Source organism: Homo sapiens, chromosome 3 (genome assembly GCF_000001405.40).
Source record: "Homo sapiens chromosome 3, GRCh38.p14 Primary Assembly".
Lineage (NCBI taxonomy): Eukaryota > Metazoa > Chordata > Mammalia > Primates > Hominidae > Homo > Homo sapiens.
Genome location: NC_000003.12, coordinates 49,602,852 through 49,626,615, shown reverse-complemented (window position 1 = coordinate 49,626,615; position 23,764 = coordinate 49,602,852). Strand labels below are relative to the sequence as shown.

Genomic DNA, 23,764 nt, shown 5'->3' with positions numbered 1-23,764 from the left:
GAACAGCAAGCACTTACCTAACTGAACAGTGCAGGATGGCCTGTTTCTAATCACAGATGCAATAATCACGAGCATGCACGCCTCTTCAGGAAGCCCCCACACTCCAGGAGCAACTCCAAAGGCACTGAGTCATCTCCCCACACCGACAGCTCCTTCCTCAGAATCTCACACTTACCTCTCACAAACCACACGTCCCACACCCACAGCACCTCATGGCATATATAGACCCTGACCTGTGAACAATTATTCTCACTCAGCCCCCTCCCACATGGTCCAAACGGCTCCAGCTGCTGTTAATCCCAGAGGCAGCCATGCCCGTGCCTGCAGCCAGCCTCTCTCCATCCTATCCAAAGACGGATTCTTGTGGGGAGAAACAGAGGCTTCTACTCCCAGAGGAGTAGGAGGAAATCAGCAGACCTACTCTGTTCATTTTAAAGCGATGGCCCCAACTCATTTGGTGAGACATCCCACAGTCATTCAAAGCATCCTGAACAAAGCCAGGCTGGGGCTGTGGACCCAGAGTCCTCTTGTCCTCTTGGGCGAAAAAGAAGCCAAACTCACAGAAATGGTCCTACAGTGGCCTCTTGGTGAGTGTAGGACACTGTCATCCTTGGTGAATGCTTGGTTCCCAGCCTGGTTCTTTACCCCAAGGTCATTTCTTTAGGGATGGGGTAGCTGCCCCACCACCTCAGGTCCCCAGCTGACTAGAACTAAAGCCAAGAAGAGGTGCTTCCCAGAGCCCAGCTGGAAGGCAGTTTCCTGCCTCCCCTGAAACTTTTCTCCCCTCACCAGCATCCCCATCTAGGGCCTGCTGTCAAAGACAGAGGCCTCCTGGCCTAGATCAGGGAAATTTGCCTCCCTCTGTGTCCTAGAGCTGCTCATGGCCCACTCCAAATGAGTTCCATTGGGAAAAATTGTTCATAAGATTGTCTTTGGTCCTCTCGAAGGCCATTTTTCCAGACCAAACTTGGACCAGGTTAGAAAGTATCTTCTACTCTCAGACTCTACCCAAGCTTTCAGGGGATGCAGAAATCCCTTGGGAGATCTGGGGCCAGGCCCTGTTCTTTGCTGCCACATCCTGGAACCAGGACACATCCCTGCAGGAGGACACAAATGCTGGTGGTCAAGGGAAATGACCAGGAAAAGAGAGTTGGTGAAAGAGGGGAAGGGAACCAGGGGAGGTATGGTAATGAGGTAGCAGGTGAGTGGGGAGCCGGCGCAGAAGTGGTTACCTGGGTGAGATGAGGGTTGGGGTTGAACCCACACTGGTTGCAGACCTTGTTGTGACACTGGGTGCAGGTGTTGAAGTTTGGCTGGCTGGGGGTCGACGTGAGGTCCGAAGTCTTGCATATGGGACACAGCGTGCTGCTGGGAAGGGGGGCGATCTGAGGGACGGAGTAGGGTGATGTGGGGGTGCTGCCTCTGTCCGGTGACACTGAGGGGGACCGCCCTGATCTCTGTGTCCTGCTGTCTACCTGCAGCGTCCTGCGGGGACCATCAGCCTCCTGGCCTGCTGGTCCCTGTGCCCTTGTCTCTCGGGGGCTCTCATGGCCAGGAGTGGTAGCAGAAGCCTGCTTCGGAGTTGGGGAAGCTGCTCTCTGGTTACCCAGGGGTTCCTTGGGGTCCAGTCTCCGGGAAGTGCTGAAATGACATTGAAAATGACTGTTAGAGATACAGCTTAGAGAAGCAGCTTGCGGAGGTCTCTACCAAGCTAGGTGACCCTGCCAAGCCCCATCACCACCCTCTTCCTCCTGCCCAGAAGAATCATCATGGCCCTCATTTGCTGTGTCCTGTGCTGAGCCTTGACAAGCATCTCCAACTTGAACCCTTGGCACCAGGGCATGAGGCAGGATTAAAACATGTCCTCTCACATTCTGATAAAGTACAGACTCTGATTCAGTAGATCTGAGTAGGGCCTGCATTGTAAGAAGCTCTAAGGTGATGCCAATACTCTCATCTGAGGCCCATGCTTTGAATACCAAGATTCTAAACCTACATGTTAGAAATAACTGGGATGGGCCAGGTATGGTGGCTCAAGCCTGTAATCCCAGCACTTTGGGAGGCCAAGGCAGGTAGATCACTTGAGGTCAGAAGTTCAAGACCAGCCTGCCCAACATGGTGAAACCCCATCTCTACTAAAAATACAAAAATTAGCTGAGCTTGGTGGCGCACACCTGTAAACCCAGCTACATGGGAGGCTGAGGTGGGAGAATCACTTGAACCCAGGAGGCAGAGGTTGCAGTGAGCAGAGATCGTGCCACTGAACTCCAGCCTGGGCAACAGAGTGAGACCCTGTCTAAAAAAAAAAAAAAAAAGGCTGGGCACGTTGGCTCACGCCTGGAATCCCCGCACTTTGGGAGGCCGAGGCGGGCACATCAAGAGGTCGGGAGATCGAAACCATCCTGGCCAACATGGGTGAAACCCCGTCTCTACTAAAAATACAAAAAATTAGCCAGGTGTGGTGGTGGGCGCCTGTAGGCCCAGCTACTTGGGAGGCTGAGGCAGAAGAATGGCGTGAACCCGGGAGGTGGAGCTTGCAGTGAGCCAAGATCGTGCCACTGCACTCCAGCCTGGGCAACAGAGCGAGACTCCATTTCAAAAAAAAAGAAAAGAAAGAAATACCTAGGGTGATTTTTAAAATTCCGACTCCCAGACTGCACCTCAGTCGAATTACATAAAAATCTATGGAGGCAGGACCCTGGCATTAGTATTTTTTCCTCCCTAGGTGATTCCAACATGAGCCCAAGTTACTATATTGAGATACCATACTGGCCAATCTGCTATATCCTGCCTTGAACCCCTTCAGAGGCTGACCCTAGATTGCTGGGGATGGGGGATACTGCAATGCCTAGTTAATGCCATCTCCTGTATCAGGGGCCTGCCTCTACACAAAGGAGCCTTCCTTCTGGTAGCCCTCTGGCAAGCCTGATGCCAGACCAAATCTACCAAGATGGGATAAAGTGTTACTTTTCCACTAGTGTGAAGCTGGGTGGGGCTGGAGTTCCAGGATCCAGCCTTGAGGAACCACTGAGTGAGGTCCAATGCATCTAACCCTCACCTCCATCCCAATCTGGCTGCAAAGGAGCCAACAGTGTTGGGTAGTTCCATGAGGTAGAAAGCAAACTGTCAGGCTAAATGTCAATCATATATTCCTTCTCCTTTGACCCAACTTAAGTTCATCTCTGCAATTTTCCTCTTTTCCAGTTTGAAAGAGGATGAGCACAAAAAGCCAAAGACAATGCTTTATACTGCTTCCCTGAAATTCTCTCCCTGCTTTAGTCTGTACTCATTGGGGTGAATGCTGGCACTCAGGAAACAGGGCTGACTTGCTGAGAGCAGTGTGGAGGCCCAGCCTGTGCAGGAGACTGCCCTGGTAGCTGCTGCCTCAGTGCCCCAGGAGAAGATTCTAAGTTTGCTGCCCCCATCTGAAGGCCATCTGCTTGCCAAAAAGATTTAAGAGCCAACTGATAGGGCAGCTTAGAACAAGCCATTTCAGGGGGAAGATGAGGAGCCCGCCTGGGGACACCCACCCCAAGATACTCTGCAATCCTTCCTCCCTTCTGAGGAACTGGCGGGTAGAGAAACATATCCTTGGTCTAATAAAGACTCTCCTAAAAAAAAGAAACACTATTAAATAGTGTTTAACATTCCTGTCATCAACCATCAGTGGCACAGACCTAACTATCCAGTCACAGACCCGCCAATTGCTTCTTCAGCAAGACAACCAGAGTTTGAGTCCAACCCCTCAGGGCCATCTTTGCCACCAGCTGTGAAGCCTAGCATGGTGGTGGCCACAGCATCAGTGGCCCACACTGGGAACCTGGGCTTCTCTGGGCCCTTTCAGTATACTAATTTCTAGGTATCCTAAAGAAATATTTCCCACTTGTCCAAATTAATAGTTTCATTTTTTACATAAATTATTTAAGACTGGAGTTTAAAGGCAGCCCTTGAAAGCAAATCAGAAGCTACTGAGAGCTTTTTACAACATGTGAATGGGCTGTGGCCCCCTCTCCAGGTGGTGCAAGCCTTCTGAGAAATGTAGCCATTTCTATTGTATTTGTGTTGCCCAATAAGTAGCAGGCAATCTATATATACAGTGACTTTTTAAATCAATGTTGTATCACAATATAGTCTTTCTGGAGACATTTAGGGTTCTAAACTCAGCTGTGGTGACAGTGAATAAACAAGCAATGTCTTCTGCACCCAGCAAAGTCTGCATGCAAGGGCAGTGTTCCTGGCATTGATGTGCACCCACACACCTCATGGTAGCCATCATGACACCTGGAGATCGCGATATATGTCCACGGTCTTTGTATTCTCCCATCTTCCTAGATGCTTCCTTATATCCTCTCCTTGATCTTCAAGCTTCCAAACACCTCCTTTTGTCTCTTAACTGCCACTGATGACCTGCTGACCATCTCACAAAAAAAGTGGGACCCACCAGAAGAAACCTGCACAACCTCAGCCTCCCTACTCCTGTCCCCCAGTGTTCACCTGCCTCCCAATCCCAAGGCCCACTTCTCACCTTCACAAATTCTCCCCTATCCTTCATCATCCATTTCCCCCTCTCTATTGGATCATTTCAATTATCATACAAACAAGCTTCTCCCATCCTAAACAACAAAAAAGTAGAAGCAGCAGTACTTTGCTCCACTACTCCTTCAGCTACTGCCCCATTTCTCTCCTCTTCTTTACAGCAAAACTCCTTAAAATAATTATCTCCACTTGCCTGGCAAGGTGACTTGCCAGGTTGCCAAGTCATAATCCCAACTTGGGAGACTGAGGCAGGAGGATCTCTTGAGCCCAGGAGATCAAGGTTACGGTAAGCTAGGACGACGCTGCTGTGCTCCAGCCTGAGTGACAGAGCAAGACTCTGTCTCTAAAATAAATAATAAAAGAACTGCCTCCACTCACTACCTCCCACTCCTCTCCTCTCTCCCTCTCAACCTACCCCTCCAACCTGGCTTTTGCCCATCACTCCACAGACATTACTCAGGTCACAGTCAGTAGGGACCTCCACATCATCAAATCCGACAGTCACATCTCAGTTCCTCATCTCATTTGACCATCAGCAGCACTTGATCCTGGGTGATCACTCCCTTCTTCCTGAAATAAGTTCACTATTTGCCTTCGGGAATACCACCTTCTCCTGAATTTCCTCCTCCTGCCTGGCCACACCTTTCTAATCTCTTCTGCAGATTCTTCCTCATCTGCCAACCCCAGAACACCACTCCTTACACTGGAGAGACCCAGGGCTCAGTCTTTACACAAACGTGCTTCTGTGAGTACTCACAATCCCTAAGTCTCAAGACTTACCCAGTCTCAGGGCTTTAAATCCACTTTCCACTGATACCCACCAAATGTCTATCTCTGGCCCAGAACTCTGCTCTGAACTCTTCACCTGTCTAACTGCCAACTCCACATCTTCACAGAGATGCCCTGTAGGCATCTCCACCTTGATACACCCAAGCTGAGCCCCTGATCTTCCCCCTAAATGTGGGCCTCCTAGTCTCCCCCTTGGTGCCGTCTCTGCCTCCCTTCCTGTCTCATCCTAAGTCAATCCAGCAGTATATCTTGTTGGTTTCTGAAGCTGGCCACTACTACCTACTCCCTCCTCCTCACCCCACCTGGTTTGAGCCATTCTCAGTTGCCAGGATAAGTCTTTTTGTGTGTGTGTGTGTGAGTCTCCTTCTGTTGCCCAGGCTGGAGCGCAGTGATGCAATCTCGGCTCACTGCAATGTAGCTGGGACTACAGGCGCACACCAGCATGCTTCGCTAATTTTTTGTATTTTTAGTAGAGTCGGAGTTTCGCCATGTTGGCCAGGCTTTGAACTCCTGACCTCAAGTGATCCGCCCACCTCAGCCTCCCAAAATGCTGGGATTACAGGCATGAGCCACCAAGCCCAGCCCCAGAATAAGGCTTTAAATACACAAGTCAGGCCACTTCTCTGCTTTGCTTAAGCCTTGCACTGGCTTCCTTTCCCTCCCAAAGGAAAAGCCAAAAGTCTTACAATGGCCCATAAGGCCCCATGAGATTTTGCCCCTTTCCCTCTGGCCTCATCTCTGATTATCCTCTCCCTGATTCCACTTCCCTTATGCCAGGCCCACTCCTGACATGTGCATTTGGCCATTGGATTTGCTGTTCTTTGTTTTTTTTTTCTTTTTTTTTTCTTTAGTTTTGTTTTGTTTTTGAGACGGAGTCTCACTCTGTCGCCCAGGCTGGAGTACAGTGCTGCGATCTCAGCTCACGGCAACCTCCGCCTCCCGGGTTCAAGCAATTCTTCTGTCTCAGCCTCCCAAGTAGCTGGGACTACAGGCATGTGCCACCATGCCCAGCTGATTTTTGTATTTTTAGTAGACACGAGGTTTCACCATATTGGCCAGGTTGGTCTTGAACTCCTGACCTTGTGATCCGCCCGCCTCGGATTTGCTGTTCTTTCTGCAGACACTTGCTCCCTCTCAAGTTTTTGCTCTGGTGGCATCCTTTCAGGGACACTTACCCTGAATCTATTTAAAACTGTGCTTGTCTCCCCTGCCTCTTTGTTCTCTGTGGCACTGAGCACCTTCTGACCCATCATATAACAAATTTATTGCTTTTGTATATCCTTTGGGATCCCTGCATTAAACTGCCAGTTCTGTGTGGGCACAGTCTCCGTGTGCTTTCCTCACAGCTGTGTCCCAGGGCCTACCACAGTGCCTGGCACAAACTGGATGCTCAATATTTATTTCCTGAATGGGGTGACTGTAAGCACTAAATGACTCAGAGCAGTAAAATGTGGCCCCAAAGTTTTAAAGCTGAGGAAACACGGCAAGTGCCTGGCATGACACTCGGCCCTTCTCTGGGTCTGACTTCATGCAGGAGAGAACTTCAGGAACAATACCTAAAGTTCCTCCCTATAGCAGTTGGCTACACCCCCAGCCGTACCATAGAAGGCTCTGCTGACAATAATTGTGGTAATGCTGACCGAGCCCTCACCATGAGCCACCTGTCACATAGTAACTGCTTTAAGCCTCACAGCAAATTCACTGGATAGGATCTATTTTGCCCATTTTACAGATGAGAAAACTGCCACACATAAAAGTTAAGTAACATACAAAGCCATCATGACTTGCAAATGGTGGAGCTGGGATTCCAATATCTAGGCCACCAGTCCATGTCCTTAACCACATCCCACACTGCCTTTCTAGGGTAGCTGTAGAGGGGGTAGAAAGCATTGCAGTTTGGGTTCTTTGGATTATTTTTTCTGAAGAGCTGCTTACGTGGAAGCTCCCTGGGAAGAGGTTTCACCATTTTGCTCCCCACTATATCCTTAGGACCCAGCGCCACGCTTGGCATTGAATGGACACTCAGTAAGCACATGCACAACAACCAGAACAATGTGTGAACAGTAGAATGAGCTCACAGAGTGGGGCTGGGCTAGGGCCATGACACCATTCACCTGGGACTTAACTAGCAACGCTGGGAGACTCAGAGAGAAAATGACTCCAACAATAGATATTTATTCATTCATTCATTCAGGAATTCACATTTACTGACCCCTGGATTAGTTCCAGGCCCTATAATAGGTATTGATGGTATAAAGGAATGATATCTCTTCAATGGAAGGTGGGTCCACAGGTGTTCATATTTTATTCTTCACATCTTATACATGTTGTATAGGTATTCTTATATTCTTTATAAAGTCATTTAATATTTAATTAAAATATTTTTTTAAAAAATGATTCATATAGGAGTCCAGTCCTCCAAGAGCCTCTGGTCTAGAGTAGAGACAGATGTGCAAACAAATCCCTGCAAGACACACTGCTGCATGGTCCAGTGATGGACAGAGGCAGAAGTCTTTGAGGATGAGAAGACATTTAAACTGGGTCTTAAAAGATGAGCTGTTCATGCCAAGGTGACAGGGCATGCTAGGCAGAGGCAACAGCATGCACGAAGACCCAGAGGCACAGCAGAGCATGCTCAGTCTGAGTAGCTACGCAGGATAAGCTTGGAAGACGTAAGTCATTGGTGCTCCCAGCACCTAGAACAGCTCCCAGCAATCGTGTGATAGTGTGTGTTGAACTACCTGAGCTAATTGGGAAGCTAAAAGCTAAAATGAGCACAGCCTGTAAGGTTTTCACATAGGGGAATGTTTAGGGTCTCTTCAAGGAGAAGAAGATGATGAGGTAGGAAACCAGTGAGAATAAGGCACTGGCCCAGGAGATAGTCTGTGTGGCAAGAGGAAGGGAAGGTACAGCAGCAGGTATTCTGGCTTTGGCTCCAGGGAGGAGTGTTCCTTTTAATTGAGATGGGGAATCCAGGGAGAGAAGTCAATTAGTGGGTAAGAAATGGGAAGCGAAATCACAAAATCACAAGTTTGGGTTTGGTTTGGTTGTGTTGAGGTGGGGGTAGGGGGTAAGAGACATTAAGAGATGGGTCACAGCTTCAGTTCAATTCAGATAAGTGTAGATATTTTTATCTGGGAGAGTTACAGGTCTTGTTCACAGACAATTCTCAGGCTAGAAATCACCCAGAAAGCTTTGTGGGGAGGACCAAAGTTCATAGGAGTAGAGGAGATGTCAGAACCAGAGAAGTCAGGGAAAGGAGAAAAAAGAGAATGACCCCACAGGGTTATAGAAGTTCCCATGAGGAGGAGCACTCAACAATGCCCCATGCCATGATGAGTCTACGTATGTGAAAGCCGAGAAGTCACAGGAAGAAAGGCTACACCTATGAGTGCCACACACCATAAATGCCCAAGCCCTGTCCCAAACCAGTCCAGCTTGGGAGGGGCCAGTTCCTTCTCCAGCTGAACACAAGGGCCCACCGTGGCAGGAGCTCCAGGGGTCATAACTGTCTGTACCACACACCTGAACACACATTCCATGAGAGCCACAGTGACTACACCCGTCCAAGGCCTCCTCAGGAGGGAAGAGGTAAGCCCTCCAGGAGGCTCTTCTTAAGAGACACAAACAAAGGTCTCCGCCAAAATATGGCCGCTGGGCAGGAGAAAGAAGGGAATGAGGAAAAAGAGAGGGAGGTGTCCACAGGCAGGACCCAGCCCACCCCAAGGAAGACTTGGTCTTGTGGATGTGGCCTCATCAGCAGAGAGGCCCCTTGAGGCCACTGCTCCTCCCAGCAGCCATGGGAGTCCTATTGCTGGGGAGGGCCAGGGTAAGGGTGTGTAAGCAAGGAGGGGAGAGGGGTGCCGCCATAAAGGAGACACAAGAGACAGGAAGGGCAGAGAGATGAAGGAGTGGCTAGAAGTCAAACAGGGAAGACTAGAAATGCCTTATCTAGGGACAAATTATAAAATTATATATATATATATATATATATATATATATATATAATGTATTTTATTTTTTATTTTACTTTAAGTTCTGGGACACATGTGCAGAACGTGCAGGTTTGTTACATAGGTATACATGTGCCATGGTGGTTTGCTACACCTATTAACCCGTCATCTAGGTTTTAAGCCCCACATGCATTAGATATTGGGACAAATATATTTTTAAGATGGCCAAGAAAGGTAAACAATGTACAAACAGCCAGATTTCTACCAGCTTTTCTTCCTTTCAGCATTTAAGGCTATTAGCTGATCAGAAACAATCTTAACTCAGAGCTGTTTGCCAAGGCAGGAAGGAGCCCCCTGGCCACAGGAGGGCTGCTGGGAACGGGAACAGAGAAAATTCAGTTAGCCTCTCCCCCACCAATCCTTAGTACCCTGTGGCCTCCTGTCCCATCCCAGGACCACTGCTGGGAGACATAATCCTGATTGCACTGGTGAGAGGCTGGGCTCCCCTCTGTCAGAAGCCCCCAGAAAGGCACGAGGCCAGCGTCAGTGACTAAAAAATGCTTCAGACACCAGTGACGTCCATAATGGCAGAACCACCAGGAGAGATGTGGCTGCCCTGGTGCACAGTGGGAAGGAGGGCCTGACCAGGCTGATTCAGACCAGACGGAAAAGCAGCCAGGCATGGAGCCAGTGCAGGCGCCAGAGGGAAAACCAAGCTGGGCCCCACAAGGCAGCATTCCAGAGCATGCCCCCCACCGCCTTCAGTTGAGGATTTGAAAGAAATGTTTTCCATTAATAAATGGCTGTCTTTGCTCACCAGGAGGGGAGTGAACTTAAAGAAACTGTTTCTCTAAGTCAGAGTGGCCAGAAGAGCCCCACAGCTTCAAAAGAGGTTTTGATGAATTCATGGCTGACCTTTCTGTAATGGGCAATTAGGGATGGGCAGATGCTGTGGGAGGACCCTCTCCTTTGAGTCCCAGGGCAGGAAGGACTACTGGGCCACGCCAGTGGTTCCTGTGCACCCAGGCAGCAAAGCAGAGGCTGTAGAGCAGTGGGTGCTGGGGCCAGGTCCAGTGTCCTAGAGCTTCTCTCTCAGGAATGGATATGAGAATCTAGAAAGTTTAGGCTTAGAAAAAAATTCCAGTTTTTGCACAAGAAAACATATCCTGGCCTGCCCAGCCTTCAAGCCAGTGGCCTCCTGCCTTTTTAATCATGTGCCTCTATCAATACAACATGTTTCAGCATCTCCAACATATGAATATTCATCTACCAATTATATAAATGCATATTTTTTATAAAACCCACCTCCCCAAGTGGAAAAGTTTTAAAAGATGAGATAGACAATAAATATAAACAGAAATTTCCATATGTTCTGCCTTGTCCCTCCCGTATTCCTCAACCCCTTGGCATATGTGTCCTAGTTGAGGCCACTGCTAAGAAAATTCTTACACTCTTAATCGCCAGTCCTTAAAATAGTCTCTGTTGGTTTCCCAGACCAGATTCAGTCCTACCCTCCACCAGGCTCCATGGAAAGTGTACTTAGGTCAGTGACAGGGAGGCCCCCAGCCATCAAGGGCTGGCCTCATCAGCTTCCTGATTGTCCTAGGGGCCAAAAAGAATTTGCAGTGCTGACGGCAATAGCACAAAGGTAAGGATCTCCATAAAACGCAGCCACAGCCACAGAAAGAGCCTGTGATTGCCCAAGAAGATGGCATCATGGGCTCAAAGCCTCTAAGGTGCTGTCTGCTGGCTGGAGAGGGAAGGTACCACACCCAGGGTTCCTGGGCAGGGTGAGAGGTCATGCCATAGGCAGAGCTCCCTTGAGGCCGACATCTTCTCTTCCTAACTTCCCAGCCCCTTTATGTTGTAGTCCCACTCTGATGGTAAGTTTCCAAGACTCAAAAGACCCCAGAGTAACCCAGAGAGCTAGGTCCTTGGTAGAGCTGGGGACAAAGCACCATGGTGGCCATGCATCAGTATACACCAGTGACGCCAGGTGTATACTGATGCACTTGGGCAGACATGCACTCAACACCCCTGAGCAGACAAACCCACATGAAGGAACCATCAGTGTTACCAGGTACCTGCCACCTCCACTCATCCTTTCCACTCAGAAATGTCTGGCAGGTGGGACTCTTCCTGTGGCCAAATAACAAGGCTCAATTTGTTCCAGGCCAGCCTGTTTGGGCCAGAAGAGAACATGTTTAAGGCAGTGAGCTCTGACTGCTCTGATGTTGCTGAGAGAAAGAGTCCAGCATGAGACTGCAGGTGGGTCAGCAAGGGGAGAATGTGACAAGAGGGACTGGTAGGAACAAGACTTGCTGCCATTAAACATAGGCTAGAAGAAGCTGCCAGCATCAGACGGGGAGACCACCAGGAGTCTGAAAGCAAGGGGAATCCAGGCCACAAATGCCACAAAAGTAAACCTTGGGGACCTCATTCCCCAGCCCTGGGGCCTGAGTGGGTCTACTAGATTGAGAACATCTTTCAGGGAAAATTGATTTGCTTTTGGTTTCCTCTGGGACCAGCTAGTCTCCAGAATCCAGAGCAAGGATAGGAAATAAGGGTAACATAAGGGTAACTTTCCTTTAACCCCAATAAATTGGTAGTGACCGCCTGGGAAGTGGGCTTGGGAAGGATTCATGGGAAAGATTGTCACCATCAATTAAGCACAAAGGCCATGGACTTGTCATCCATGATGTAGAACAAAACCAAACCCTTAGACCTGCCTCAAGTGACATCCATATTCTTGTAGTGTCTCACTAAGAATTGCACCAGGCCCACCTCAGGCCAAATTCTAGAAAGAGACCAGTAGGTATACAGTAGTGGTTCATGTGGCGTTTACCTTTGATCTTCCCCTCAGTCCCATTTTTACCTCTATCCCATGGCTTTTCCAGAATAGCAAGAGCTATATGTGGCCACCAGTCAGCTGACGTGTCAAATGCCATGAGTTCAGTATAACTTTAAAGACTGAATGTCGGCCGGGCGCGGTGGCTCACGCCTGTAATCCCAGCACTTTGGTAGGCCAAGGCGGGTGGATCACGAGGTCAGGAGATCAAGACCATCCTGGCTAACACGGTGAAACCCTGTCTCTACTAAAAATACAAAAAATTAGCTGGGCGTGGTGGCGGGCATCTGTAGTCCCAGCTACTTGGGAGGCTGAGACAGGAGAATGGCATGAACCTGGGAGGCAGAGCTTGCAGTGAGCCGAGATCAAGCCACTGCACTCTGGCCTGGGCGACAGAGCGAGACTCCGTCTCACAAAAAAAAAAAAAAAAAAAAAAAAGACTGAATGTCTCTTGCACCATGGTGCCGGTGACAAGCACTGTGTGAATGACGGCTCATCTGAGGGCAAGTAAGTAGTGGTGAGGTTACTACTCCTTTAATCACAGCATCTCCATGTATGTCTTAGGGAATTTATCTCTAGAAGTTTTTATTCATTCATTCATTTAAAAAGAACTCATAGAAACCACGTTTCCTGAGTTCTTGAATGTCTGAACGCATCTTCATGACCTTTACACTTGAACTACAGCTGGGCATGGCGGTTCATGCCTGTAATCCCAGCACTTTGGGAGGCCAAGGCAGGTGGATCACTTGAAGTCAGGAGTTTGAGACCAGCCTGGCCAACATGGAGAAACCCCATCTCTACCAAAACTACAAAAAAAAAAAAAGAAAATTAGCCAGGCCTGGTGGCACACACCTGTAGTCCCAGCTACTTGGGAGGTTGAGGCAGAAGAATCGCTTGAACTCAGGAGGTGGAGGTTGCAGTGAGCTGAGACTGCACCACTCCACTCCTGCCTGGGCAACAGAGCAAAAACTCTGTCTCAAAAAAAAATAATAATAATAATAATAATAAAAACTTGAACAACAGGTTGGCTGGATATAAATTCTGGGTTTACACTTTCTCTCCCTCAGGACTTCAGAGATATAGCTAGCCCCTCTGTTTTCTGTCGTTGATTATTACTGTGGAGAGCTCTGGGCCAGCCCTTCTCTCTCTCTCTCTCTCTCTCTCTCTCTCTCTCTCTCTCTCTCTCGCTCTGTGTGTGTATATATATATATATAAACTTTTCCCCTCTGGATGCAATAGAGCTATTTTTTTCTCTTTGGAATTGAGTGACACCACCAAGATACGTTTTTGGGTTGAATATGTGTGTTTTTCAAAATTCAGTCTGGCCTTTTTTGTTGTTGTTGTTGTTGTTTTCTTTAGATGGAGTTTCACTCTTGTTGCCCAGTCTGGAGTGCAATGGCACTATCTCTACTCACTGCTACCTCCGCCTCCCAGGTTCAAGCAATTCTCCTGCCTCAGCCTCCCAAGTAGCTGGGATTATAGGCATGTGCCACCATGCCCAGGTAGTTTTTGTATTTTTAGTAGAGACGGGGTTTCTCCATGTTGGTCAGGCTGGTCTGAAACTCCTGACCTCAGGTGATCTGCCTGCCTTGGCCTCCCAAAGTGCTGGGATTACAGGTGTGAGCCACCATGCCTGGCCCCTGGCCTTTCAAACAAAAGATTTATGTGTTCTTTTATTTCAGGGGGAAAGTTTTCTTCCATTATATCTTTGAATATTTTTGTGTTCCTTTTGTTTTGTTCTCTTCTCCAGAGATACCAATTATACCCATTTTGAATTTCCTTTGTTTTTCTATTGTCTGAATTGCTGGCAACCCATAGTTTTCCCCTCACCTGCCACACCCTGCTCAATTCCTTGGGTAATTCCACCTCCCTAGTAACTCCTTGGCATCACACAGGGCTCAAAGATACTCCCTAAGCTTATCCGCATATGTTGGCTTTGCTAACCAGTCCAATAGATCATAATTTGTTTTGGCCCTCTGGACTCTGACAAGTGTCCCCTCCTAAAATCCTCCATCCTGGACTGATTTTGATCCTGGACTTGAAAAATCATTATTTGGCCAGGCGTGGTGGCTCACGCCTTTAATCCCAGCACTTTGGGAGGCCGAGGCAGGCAGATCACAAGGTCAGGAGATCGAGACCATCCTGGCTAACACAGTGAAACCCCATCTCTGCTAAAAATACAAAAAATTAGCCAGGCATGGCGGCATGCGCCTGTAATCCCAGCTACTTGGGAGGCTGGGGAAGGAGGACGGCGTGAACCCGGGAGGCGGAGCTTGCAGTGAGCCGAGATTGCACCACTGCACTCCAGCCTGGGCAACAGAACGAGACTCTGTCTCAAAAAAAAAAAAAATCATTCTTTGTTTGTTGTATTTCAGGTTACAGGTGTTTGTTATTTTTGTTGAAGGTAAAGTTTTCTTTTCTGTTTCTTATTCCTCTTGCAGTTTTTGGAAGGAAAAAATGTCTTTTTTCCTACTTAGTCATCAGACTTGGGTAATAGCTCATCAGCAGGAAATTCCTAGGGGAGCTAGGACAGGTGGGAGCCCATGCTGGGAGCCAAGAGAAATAGAGGGAGGGAAGAGAAGGCAGGCAGATGGCCAGGCCAGAGTCACTACCCAGAGCCAAGACCTAGGTCAGCAGCTCCTTGAGGAGCTCCCCCTATGATCTCCTAGACTCTCCAGATGACCCTGGCCTGGGAAACCAAAAGAACCCAAGACATTGACATTTCTCTGAGAAGTCACAGTGCATTCCTGCACTAAGACCTTCCTGGCCTTTCCAGTCTACAGTGACTGGGGCACTTTTTAAGAGTGTTCTAGGCCAACCAGGTATCTCCATGTGTTCCCCTACTAGGCTCGGCTTTCTGAGGGAACGTCTAACTGGACAGGTAAATTCTCAACCACCTTTCCACAGACTTCTAAGGAGCTTTGGCCCCAGTGCCAGCCCTCTTCACATTTCCCAACCTCGTCTTCTGGGAGTACCATGGCTCTCAAGTATAGCCCAGGAGTTCTGATGCAGCCCAAGTCACGGAGGCTCCTGCTCCCCAGCCAGCCCCAGGCTTATAGACACCTGCATTAGGACCCCGCATGATACAACTTTGGGTTGTGCAGCATCACAGTGTTCTGACCTAGGTCAGCTCCTAAAGCTAGGAAGCTCAAATCGGGAGACTGAAGTCATTACATAAAGCTGAGCCAGCTTTTCCCAGGTTCCAGCTACTGCAAATCCTACTACTACAGCCTTTTACCAAGGGGACAATGCTGTGCTTGTCAGCTCTCTTCAAAATTTTGCTACAATCTGGAAGTCAAGACAAACTAAGAGAAAACTGCAAGCCTTTGTGACTAGGGAGGAAGCAAGCCACTTCCCATAGTCCTGCCCCAAACAGGGCAGAAGCCAGGACTTTGACCCAGAAACCTCAAGTTCCTGACCAGTCATCAGACCCAATACTGATGAGAGACTCAGCACTCAGCCTGCCCTTAGGGGCTGCCTGGACACATCTTTAGCCCACAAAGATGGCTAAGGGTCTACTTCACACTCAGCCCTGCTCTAGGCACAGGAAGAGAGATACAGGCCAACAATGCAGTTGGCAAGATCACCCAATGTCTGCATCACTATGCAGACACTAAATGCATGCATGAATTTGCTGAACATCTGCTGTGCTCAGGGGACTGGACTGGCCCCAGAAACATCCCAGTGTATGAGGCATCCCAGAGCCTCCTGTTTGAGACTTCCAGGGAAACCCTGCCTGGGACCCCTTAATACCTTTCTAATGGGAAGTCAGTGGAATTAAAAAACAATGCCTATTGTCTATTTTGTGGGAGAAAGAAACACCAAGCTAATATCTATTCATCCCATGTTAAAAACTTCTCTGTCCAGAAATCAGGCCTACTTGTTTTTTTTTTTTTTTTTTTTTTGAGATGAAATTTCGCTCTTGTTGCCCAGGCTGGAGTGCAGTGGTGTGATCTCGGCTCACTGCAACCTCCACCTCCCAGGTTCAAGCAATTCTCCTGACTCAGCCTCCTGAGTAGCTGGGATTACAGGCCTGAGCGACCACACCCAGCTAATTTTTTGTATTTTTAGTAGAGATGGGGTTTTGCCATGTTGGCCAGGCAGATCTTGAACTCCTGATCTCAGGTGATCCACCCGCCTAGAAATAACAGGTAGTAAAATAAGAATGAAACCCTCTGAACTCTACCTTTGCCTTGCAATTTCAAATTTATTACAATCAAAAGAATACAAAGCAAGTGTTCTCACACACAAAACTCCATCTATCACATACAAAAGCATGGGAACTTGAACGTGCATGTGTGTGTTTGGTGGGAGGGGTCAGTGGTCTGGGGGCTCCCAGAAGGAGAAATCAATGTGGACTGGCAGAGTCTCAGAAAACCCTGGAGGAAGCCATGGGGAAGAGGGGTGGTTCCAGAGAAAAGTGGGCCATCTGGCTTTCCTCTACACACAGTGACCACAGAGTCCTCAGAGTTTGGCACAGGGCCTGGCCCAGAGCAGGGCTCAGTGAATGTTTGTGGAATGAATGACCCACGGGCTCGGGTGATTGATCAGAGAAGCAGAGGCTCTGTGTGGTAGCGGTGGCTGGCACACTGGGCATAGAACACAGAGGACCCACTGCAATAATCCCGGGGCCTGCAAGGGCATCCCAGGCTGACGATAGACAAGTCTGGGGGAGAAAAGACTCTGAAGTCTGGTACAGAGACATGAGAGTAGGCCCTGCTTAGGAGTCTCACTCAGACAGCCTGTTTGAAAAAGGCCTGGCTTTCCTGTGGTAGCTGCCACAATCATAGTCACATGTGTGAACGCTCATACCAGTTATATTGTGCTAAGTGCTCACTCTTCCCACCTAATCCCACCATATGCATGTCAGGCACAGCAGCATATGCAGGGTTACCACCCGACCCTGGACACCCTTGCCCACAGCCTTCAAAGCACTCTACCATGTGGCTCCTCCTATCCAGGCAGTTTTTCCTCTTCCTGCAGTGCCGTTGGCAGGGATACCTGAGGCTCCTCATCTGACCCCAACTTCTAACAGCTCATGCTCTATTCTCTTTCTACAAGGCAGTTTCCTTAAAAGCCAATTCAGGCCAAGCGTGTGGTGGCTCACACCTATAGTCCCAGCACTTTGGGAGGCTGAGGTGGGAGGATCGCTTGTGCCTAGGAGTTTGAAACCAGCCTGGGCAACATAGGAAGATCCCATCTCTACAAAAAAAAAAAAAAATTAGCCAAGCATGGTGGCATGTGCCTGTGGTCCCAGCTTCTTGAGAGCCTGAGGCAAATGGATCCCTTGAGCCTAGGAGGTTGAGGTTGCAGTAAGCTATGATTGCACCACTGTGCTCTGCAATCCAGTCTATGTGACAGAGTGAGACCCTGTCTCAAAAAAAAAAAAAAAAAAAAAAAGTCAATTTAACCTTCAAAACCTGGTTTAAGCATCCTGCCGTCTATGGGCCCTCACCAGATTCCTCAGTTCCCAGAAATCTGCTATGCCTTCCTGCAGACTTTTCATGGCCTCATGCAGGAGGGCTCCTTGTGTGCTTGTGGGCCCCCTTTGGCCTCCCTCTCTCTCCTCACCTGCATGCAGCATGAAGCTAAATGCCCAGACAGGGCTGATGCTAAGGACGTATTGACCTACTGAATGCAATTCTTTTTTTTTTTTTTTCCCGAGACGGAGTCTTGCTCTATCACCCAGGCTAGAGTGCAGTGGCACGATCTCGGCTCACTGCAACCTCCGCCTCCTGGGTTCAAGCAATTCTCCTGCCTCAGCCTCTCAAGTAGCTGGGATTACAGGCGCCTGCCACCATGCCCAGCTAGTTTTTGTATTTTTAGTAGAGACAGGGTTTCACCATGTTGGCCAGGAGGGTCTTGAACTCCTGACCTCGTGATCCACCCACCTCAGCCTCCCAAAGTGCTGGGATTATAGGCGTGAGCCACCACGCCAAGCCTGAATGCAATTTTTTATAAGGCTTATGAAAGACGTTGAGACTGATTTAAAAATGCCATCTCAAGACAGTAACTGAGACTCAAGATTCCAGCAGGAAAAACATCTCCTCTTCTAAATAATACCCACTGCAACATCAAAGGACATTTAAAAAGGAAAGCCATCCACCACTTTCCAGCCTTTGACATTACCGTGTCCATGGTTCCACATGCCTGTCAGCCTAGTTGCAAAAAAATGTACATAGATGGTGGTCTGTTTTCCTTTCTTGCCAACTATGCAGTCTTTCCTCTGTGGTTTCCTTGTTTTTCACTTCTGAAGGGTCTAACTCAGAAGGAGAAATCTAATACCTATCTGTGGCACTTTGGCTCCTGCCTTTCCTTCTCTCTCAGCCCGTGAGAGTCAGGAAGGTGCTGGGGGTTCATTTCTAGATTCTCCCTGTGGACAATTCCACTATTGGCCACTTGGGGAGATTGCCTCCCGCTGGCAGAGACCACCCAGTGAGAGGCTTCCCGCAGGAGAGGACCTCTATCCCTCCATACCCTCCTCCCATTCTTCCCTCCCACCTCAGAGATTGATTCTCAGTCCCCCTCACTGTTCAGCCTGATGTGGGGTAACAGCCACGAAGGCCTGGCCTAAGGCCAAAACCTCCCATCCAAGGAGCCATCAATCCCTTTCAGGTGGCTGGACCCACCCTTGACGAGAAGAGGCCCTCCCTCTGGTATACTGACCACCAGGAGCTCCCTCCTCTACTCTCTTCCCCTTTCCAGGGCTCAGCGTCTAGGGAGCACAGATTCAGGGATGCCCATGTTCCTACCTGACGTGTGTTCACACATTGAGAGCATTAAATTCAGCTACTGTGGCCTAAATTCCATCAAGACAGATGCTGTCATAAAGGAAATATCTGCCTGAGAGTGGTGATTAAGACCTGAGAAAAAAGTGTGATGAACTACTGTGTGCACACGTGCATGTGTGTGTAGTGTGTGCTCACACGTGAGTGTGCACATGCACTGTGTGCATGTGTGTGTGAGCATGTGACAGCATATGTGATCACACCCTACATGGCACGTTGCTAGCCACTGACTAATGAGTAATATACTGCCAAGCAGTCCTGCTCCCAAAGAGAAGGGCAAGTGCTCTGAGGGACTAGCCCAGCCCTGAATCACCACACCCAGAATGCCTGGGCCAGACTGAGCCAACAGAGGGACCAGGGCCACCCCAGCATGAGGAAATACAGTGCCAAATGCCCAGTAGGCACTGAGAAAAACATTAGCCTTGCCTTCCTCCCTTTCTTCCTTCCCTGGCTTGACAACAAGTGGAGTGGGCAGGAAGCCTGGATTCTGATGCCAAAATCTTCAGAGTAGTAGGAAGTAATGAGAAGTCCAGGCAGCAGTGCTAAGGGAGAGATAATGGTAGAACTGTATGGCCTGTGTCTGACAAAAGAGGAGAGACCAGGGTCTGAGAGCCAAGCTCATGCAAAGGTCCGCTGGCCCAGATGATCAGGCAAGTGCATGGGGGTCTGCACAGCCCTGCTGAGGGAGTAAGGAGAATATTGCAAACTGAGGCGCCCACCACCATGTCCGGCTAATTTTTGTATTTTTAGTAGAGATGGGGTTTCACCATGTTGGCCAGGCTGGTCTCCAACTCCTGACCTCAGGTGATCCGCCCGCCTCGGCCTCCCAAAGTGCTGGGATTACAGGTGTGAGCCACCGTGCCCAGCCTGCAAATAATATTTTGGCATGGTCAGGTTTTTACCCAGCAGAAGGAATGTCTGGGGAAGGTGCTGGGGACTCAAGGTAGCTTGATAGTTCCAGAGAACAGAGTGGGGTACCTGGGATGGAGGATGTGAATACAGATCCAAATACAAAAGGGGGAGGTGGAAGGGGTCAGGGCTCCAATGGTGGCCAGAGCACCACAAGTGTGTGGCTTTACTGCATGTCAGGTCCTCACTGGGAGCTTCACGGTCCCTGGCACTGGGCTGCACTGCAGATGCTGGCTACCTCGTAGTGAGCAAGGCACACAAGGCCACTCAATTCATAGGACTTGCCTTATGGTGCAGGATATAAGCAAAGATCAAGAAGACAAATAGGTAAGTCCAATTCATTCAGAGTATGATAGGTGCTTAGAAGAACAATATGAATGAGAAAGGAGAGAAACTACCCTGGTGGGTCAGGGGGCACTTCTGAAAAGGAGACACCAGAGCAGAGTCATGCCAAAAATATATATATATTTTTAATATATATTATATATATTTTTAATATATATAATATATATTTTTAATATATATTATATATATTTTATATATAATATATACATATATAATATATGTATATATAATATATACATATATAATATATGTATATATAATATATATACATATATAATATATGTATATATAATATATACATATATAATATATGTATATATAATATATACGTATATATTATATATTATATGTTATATATAAAAAATTATATATTTTTATATAATATATTTATAATTATATATAATATAATATATTATGTATATAAATATATATTTCTATGTATATATAAATATATATTTTTTATTTATATAAATACATATATTTTATTATATATTTATATATATTTATATATAAATAGATTTTATATCTATTTATATCTATTTATATAGACATAAATATATTTATATCTATATATAAATAGATATAAATATATTATATATAAATATATATATTTATATCTATTTATACAAAATATATTTATATATATAAATATATTTATATATTATATATTATATATATTTTTATATATATTTATATATTATATATATTTATATATTATATACATTTATATGTTATATATTTTATATATATTATATATAATATATATTACATATATGTAATATATATTATATATAATATATATTACATATATGTAATATATATTATATTTATATATAATATATAATATATATTATATATAAATATATAATATATATAATATATAATATATATTATATAAAATATATATAATATATATTATATATTATATATATATTATATAATATATATTATATATAATATATATTATATAATATATATTATATATAATATATATTATATAATATATATAATATATATTATATATAAATATAAAATATAAATTATATAAATATATAAAATATATATTTATATATTAAATATATATTTATAAATATATATTTATATATTATATATATTTATAAATATATATATATAATATAATATATAATATATAAAATATATATGTATATATATGTATATATATATTTTTTTGAGACAGAGTTTCGCTCTTGTTGCCCAGGCTGGAGTGCAATGGCATGGTCTCCACTGCAACCTCCACCTCCCAGGTTCAAGCAATTCTCCTGCCTCAGCCTCCCAAGTAGCTATGATTACAGGCACCCACCACCATGTCTGGCTAATTTTTGTATTTTTAGTAGAGATGGGGTTTCACCATGTTGGCCAAGCTGGTCTCAAACTCCTGACCTCAGGTGATCTGCCCACCTCAGCCTCCCAAAGTGCTGGGATTACAGGCGTGAGCTACCGCGCCCAGCCTGCAAATATTAATATATTGGGAGAGGCCATGCCAAGGCCCTGGGAAGGACATCCCAGAGGAAGAAATGACAGGGTCTTAGGCTTTGAGGCGGGGTTGTGGATTGCAGGTAGGGAGCAGCAAGCACGCCAGTGTGGCTGAAGGGGTGTAGTCAGGGGAAATATGGGGAGGGGTGGGGGATGTAGGTGTGGGAGGCCTGGGAAATGGGAGCAGACTGTGTTCCTGGACCCATTCTGAAACCTCAGCATCTTGTCCAGTGCTCAAATGTATGTCCCTGCTCCAGCTGTCCACCAGGCTGTTGCAGTACTCAAGAATCTATGCATCATTCACACTAGCCAAAAGGTGAAAGCAACCATGTCCACTGATAGATGAATGGGTAAAAAAAGTGTGTTATATATATGCAATGGAGTATTATTCGACCCTTAAAAGGAAGGAAATTCTGATACATGCTACAATATGGATGAACCTTCAAGAAACGATAAGTGAAATTTGCCAGTCACAAAAGGACAAATACTGTAGAATTCCACTTACACGAGGTACCTAGAATTGTCAAATTCATAGAGATAGAAACTAAAACAGTAGTTATCATGAGCTGGGGGAAAATGGGGAGTTACTACTGTTCAATGGGTACAGAGTTTCTGTTTGGGATGATGAAAAAGTTCTGGAGATGGATGGTGGTGATGGCTAAACAACAATGTGAATGTATCTAATACCACTGAACTGTACACCTAAAAATGGTTAAAATGACACATTTTGAGCTGGGCACAGTGGCATGTACCTGTAGTCCCAGCTACTCAGGAGGCTGAGGCAGGAGGATCACTTGAGCCCAGGAGTTGAAGGCCAACCTGGGTAACATAGTGAGACCCCATCTCTTTAGAAGAAAAAAAAAAGGTACATTTTATGTGACATATATTTTACCACAATAAATAAAACAAAACAAGATAAAACAAAAGCAATGAAGTACTGATACATGCATACTACAATGTGGATGAACCTTAAAAACATTAGGCCAAGTAAGAGAAGCCAGGCACAAAAGGATACCTATTTTATGATTCCATTTATATGAACTATCCAAAATAGATAAATCCATAGAGACAGAAAGCAGACTAGTGGTTAGAAGGGGAGGGGAAAATGGGGAGCAACTGCTTAATGAGTGTGGGGTTTTCTTTTGGGGTGGCAAAAATGGTTTGGAACTAGATAGAGGTGATGGTTGCATAATATTGTGAATGCATTAAATACCACTGGATTGTTCACTTTAAATTGGTTAATTTTATATGATGTGAATTCACAGAGAAAGAGAGAATCCCCGTGTAAGATCAGAGAACCCTTCTAATGGACTGCAGAGATCCTCACCTTGTTCCTACCATGAGGTAGGCTTCACCTAACACACCCACAAACCTGCAGACCTTCATCCTCTTCCTGACCCATAGGGTCTACTCAGCACTCCTCATACATGAGGGCCCTCTTAGACAAAGCTCCAGTCATTTGCTCATTCAATAATCATGGTATAATCTAACAGGCCTACACTGCCTAGGGTGGCAACCTCAGCAGGCAACTCCTAAGATACACCCTAAGAAGTCAGGAACCAAAGAAGGAATTGGGCAAGGCTGGTGACATCTGCTCACCACCACTTCAACTGGCCCCATAGGAGGAACAGTTTACCTAGGTTCCACAGTAGCCAGGTAGCAACCACCAACAAGAGGTGGGTGAGTCACAGAGGCAAGCACACTTCCTGTGACAGCTCAGAGGCTTTCCCCAGGCCTAGCGCAAAGCAGGAAGGCATCAGGGTGGGACCTGCGGCCCTCAAGTTTCCAGGCTGGTTGTCCTTGAGGGGCCAGCAGTGGAGGGGCATGACTTGAGGGGCCCAGCCCTGGCCACAGATGTGGAAGACCAGGCCCCAGCTGCCCAGTGAGAGGCAGGTATGGCCAAGTGGGTCAGGCTGAATCTGCTGGCCAAGCATGAAGTGCCAGGAGCAACACTGCAGGGAGCTGCGTGGGATGTCAGCATCTTCCGTGCCATGCCCTGACTCACAGCACACCTCTCCCTTCACTCTGCCCATGAGCGTGATCTGAAGAAGGGGCAGAGTGTGCAGAAGAGAGGAGGCCAGACTATGGGAGAAGATCAGAAA

At 46.7% G+C, this 23,764-nt stretch overlaps 1 protein-coding gene across 5 annotated transcripts in view; it reads right to left on the bottom strand.

The window, feature by feature from the left end:
• BSN (bassoon presynaptic cytomatrix protein) overlaps nucleotides 1–23,764 on the bottom strand; it is a 118,654-nt gene that overhangs the window by 46,515 nt on the left and 48,375 nt on the right. For all 5 annotated transcript variants that reach the window (XM_047449150.1, NM_003458.4, XM_047449149.1 and 2 more), the window contains exon 2: nucleotides 1,233–1,641. In XM_047449150.1, coding sequence (XP_047305106.1) covers nucleotides 1,233–1,641 — 409 coding nt within the window. The remainder of the gene's footprint in view (nucleotides 1–1,232; nucleotides 1,642–23,764) is intronic.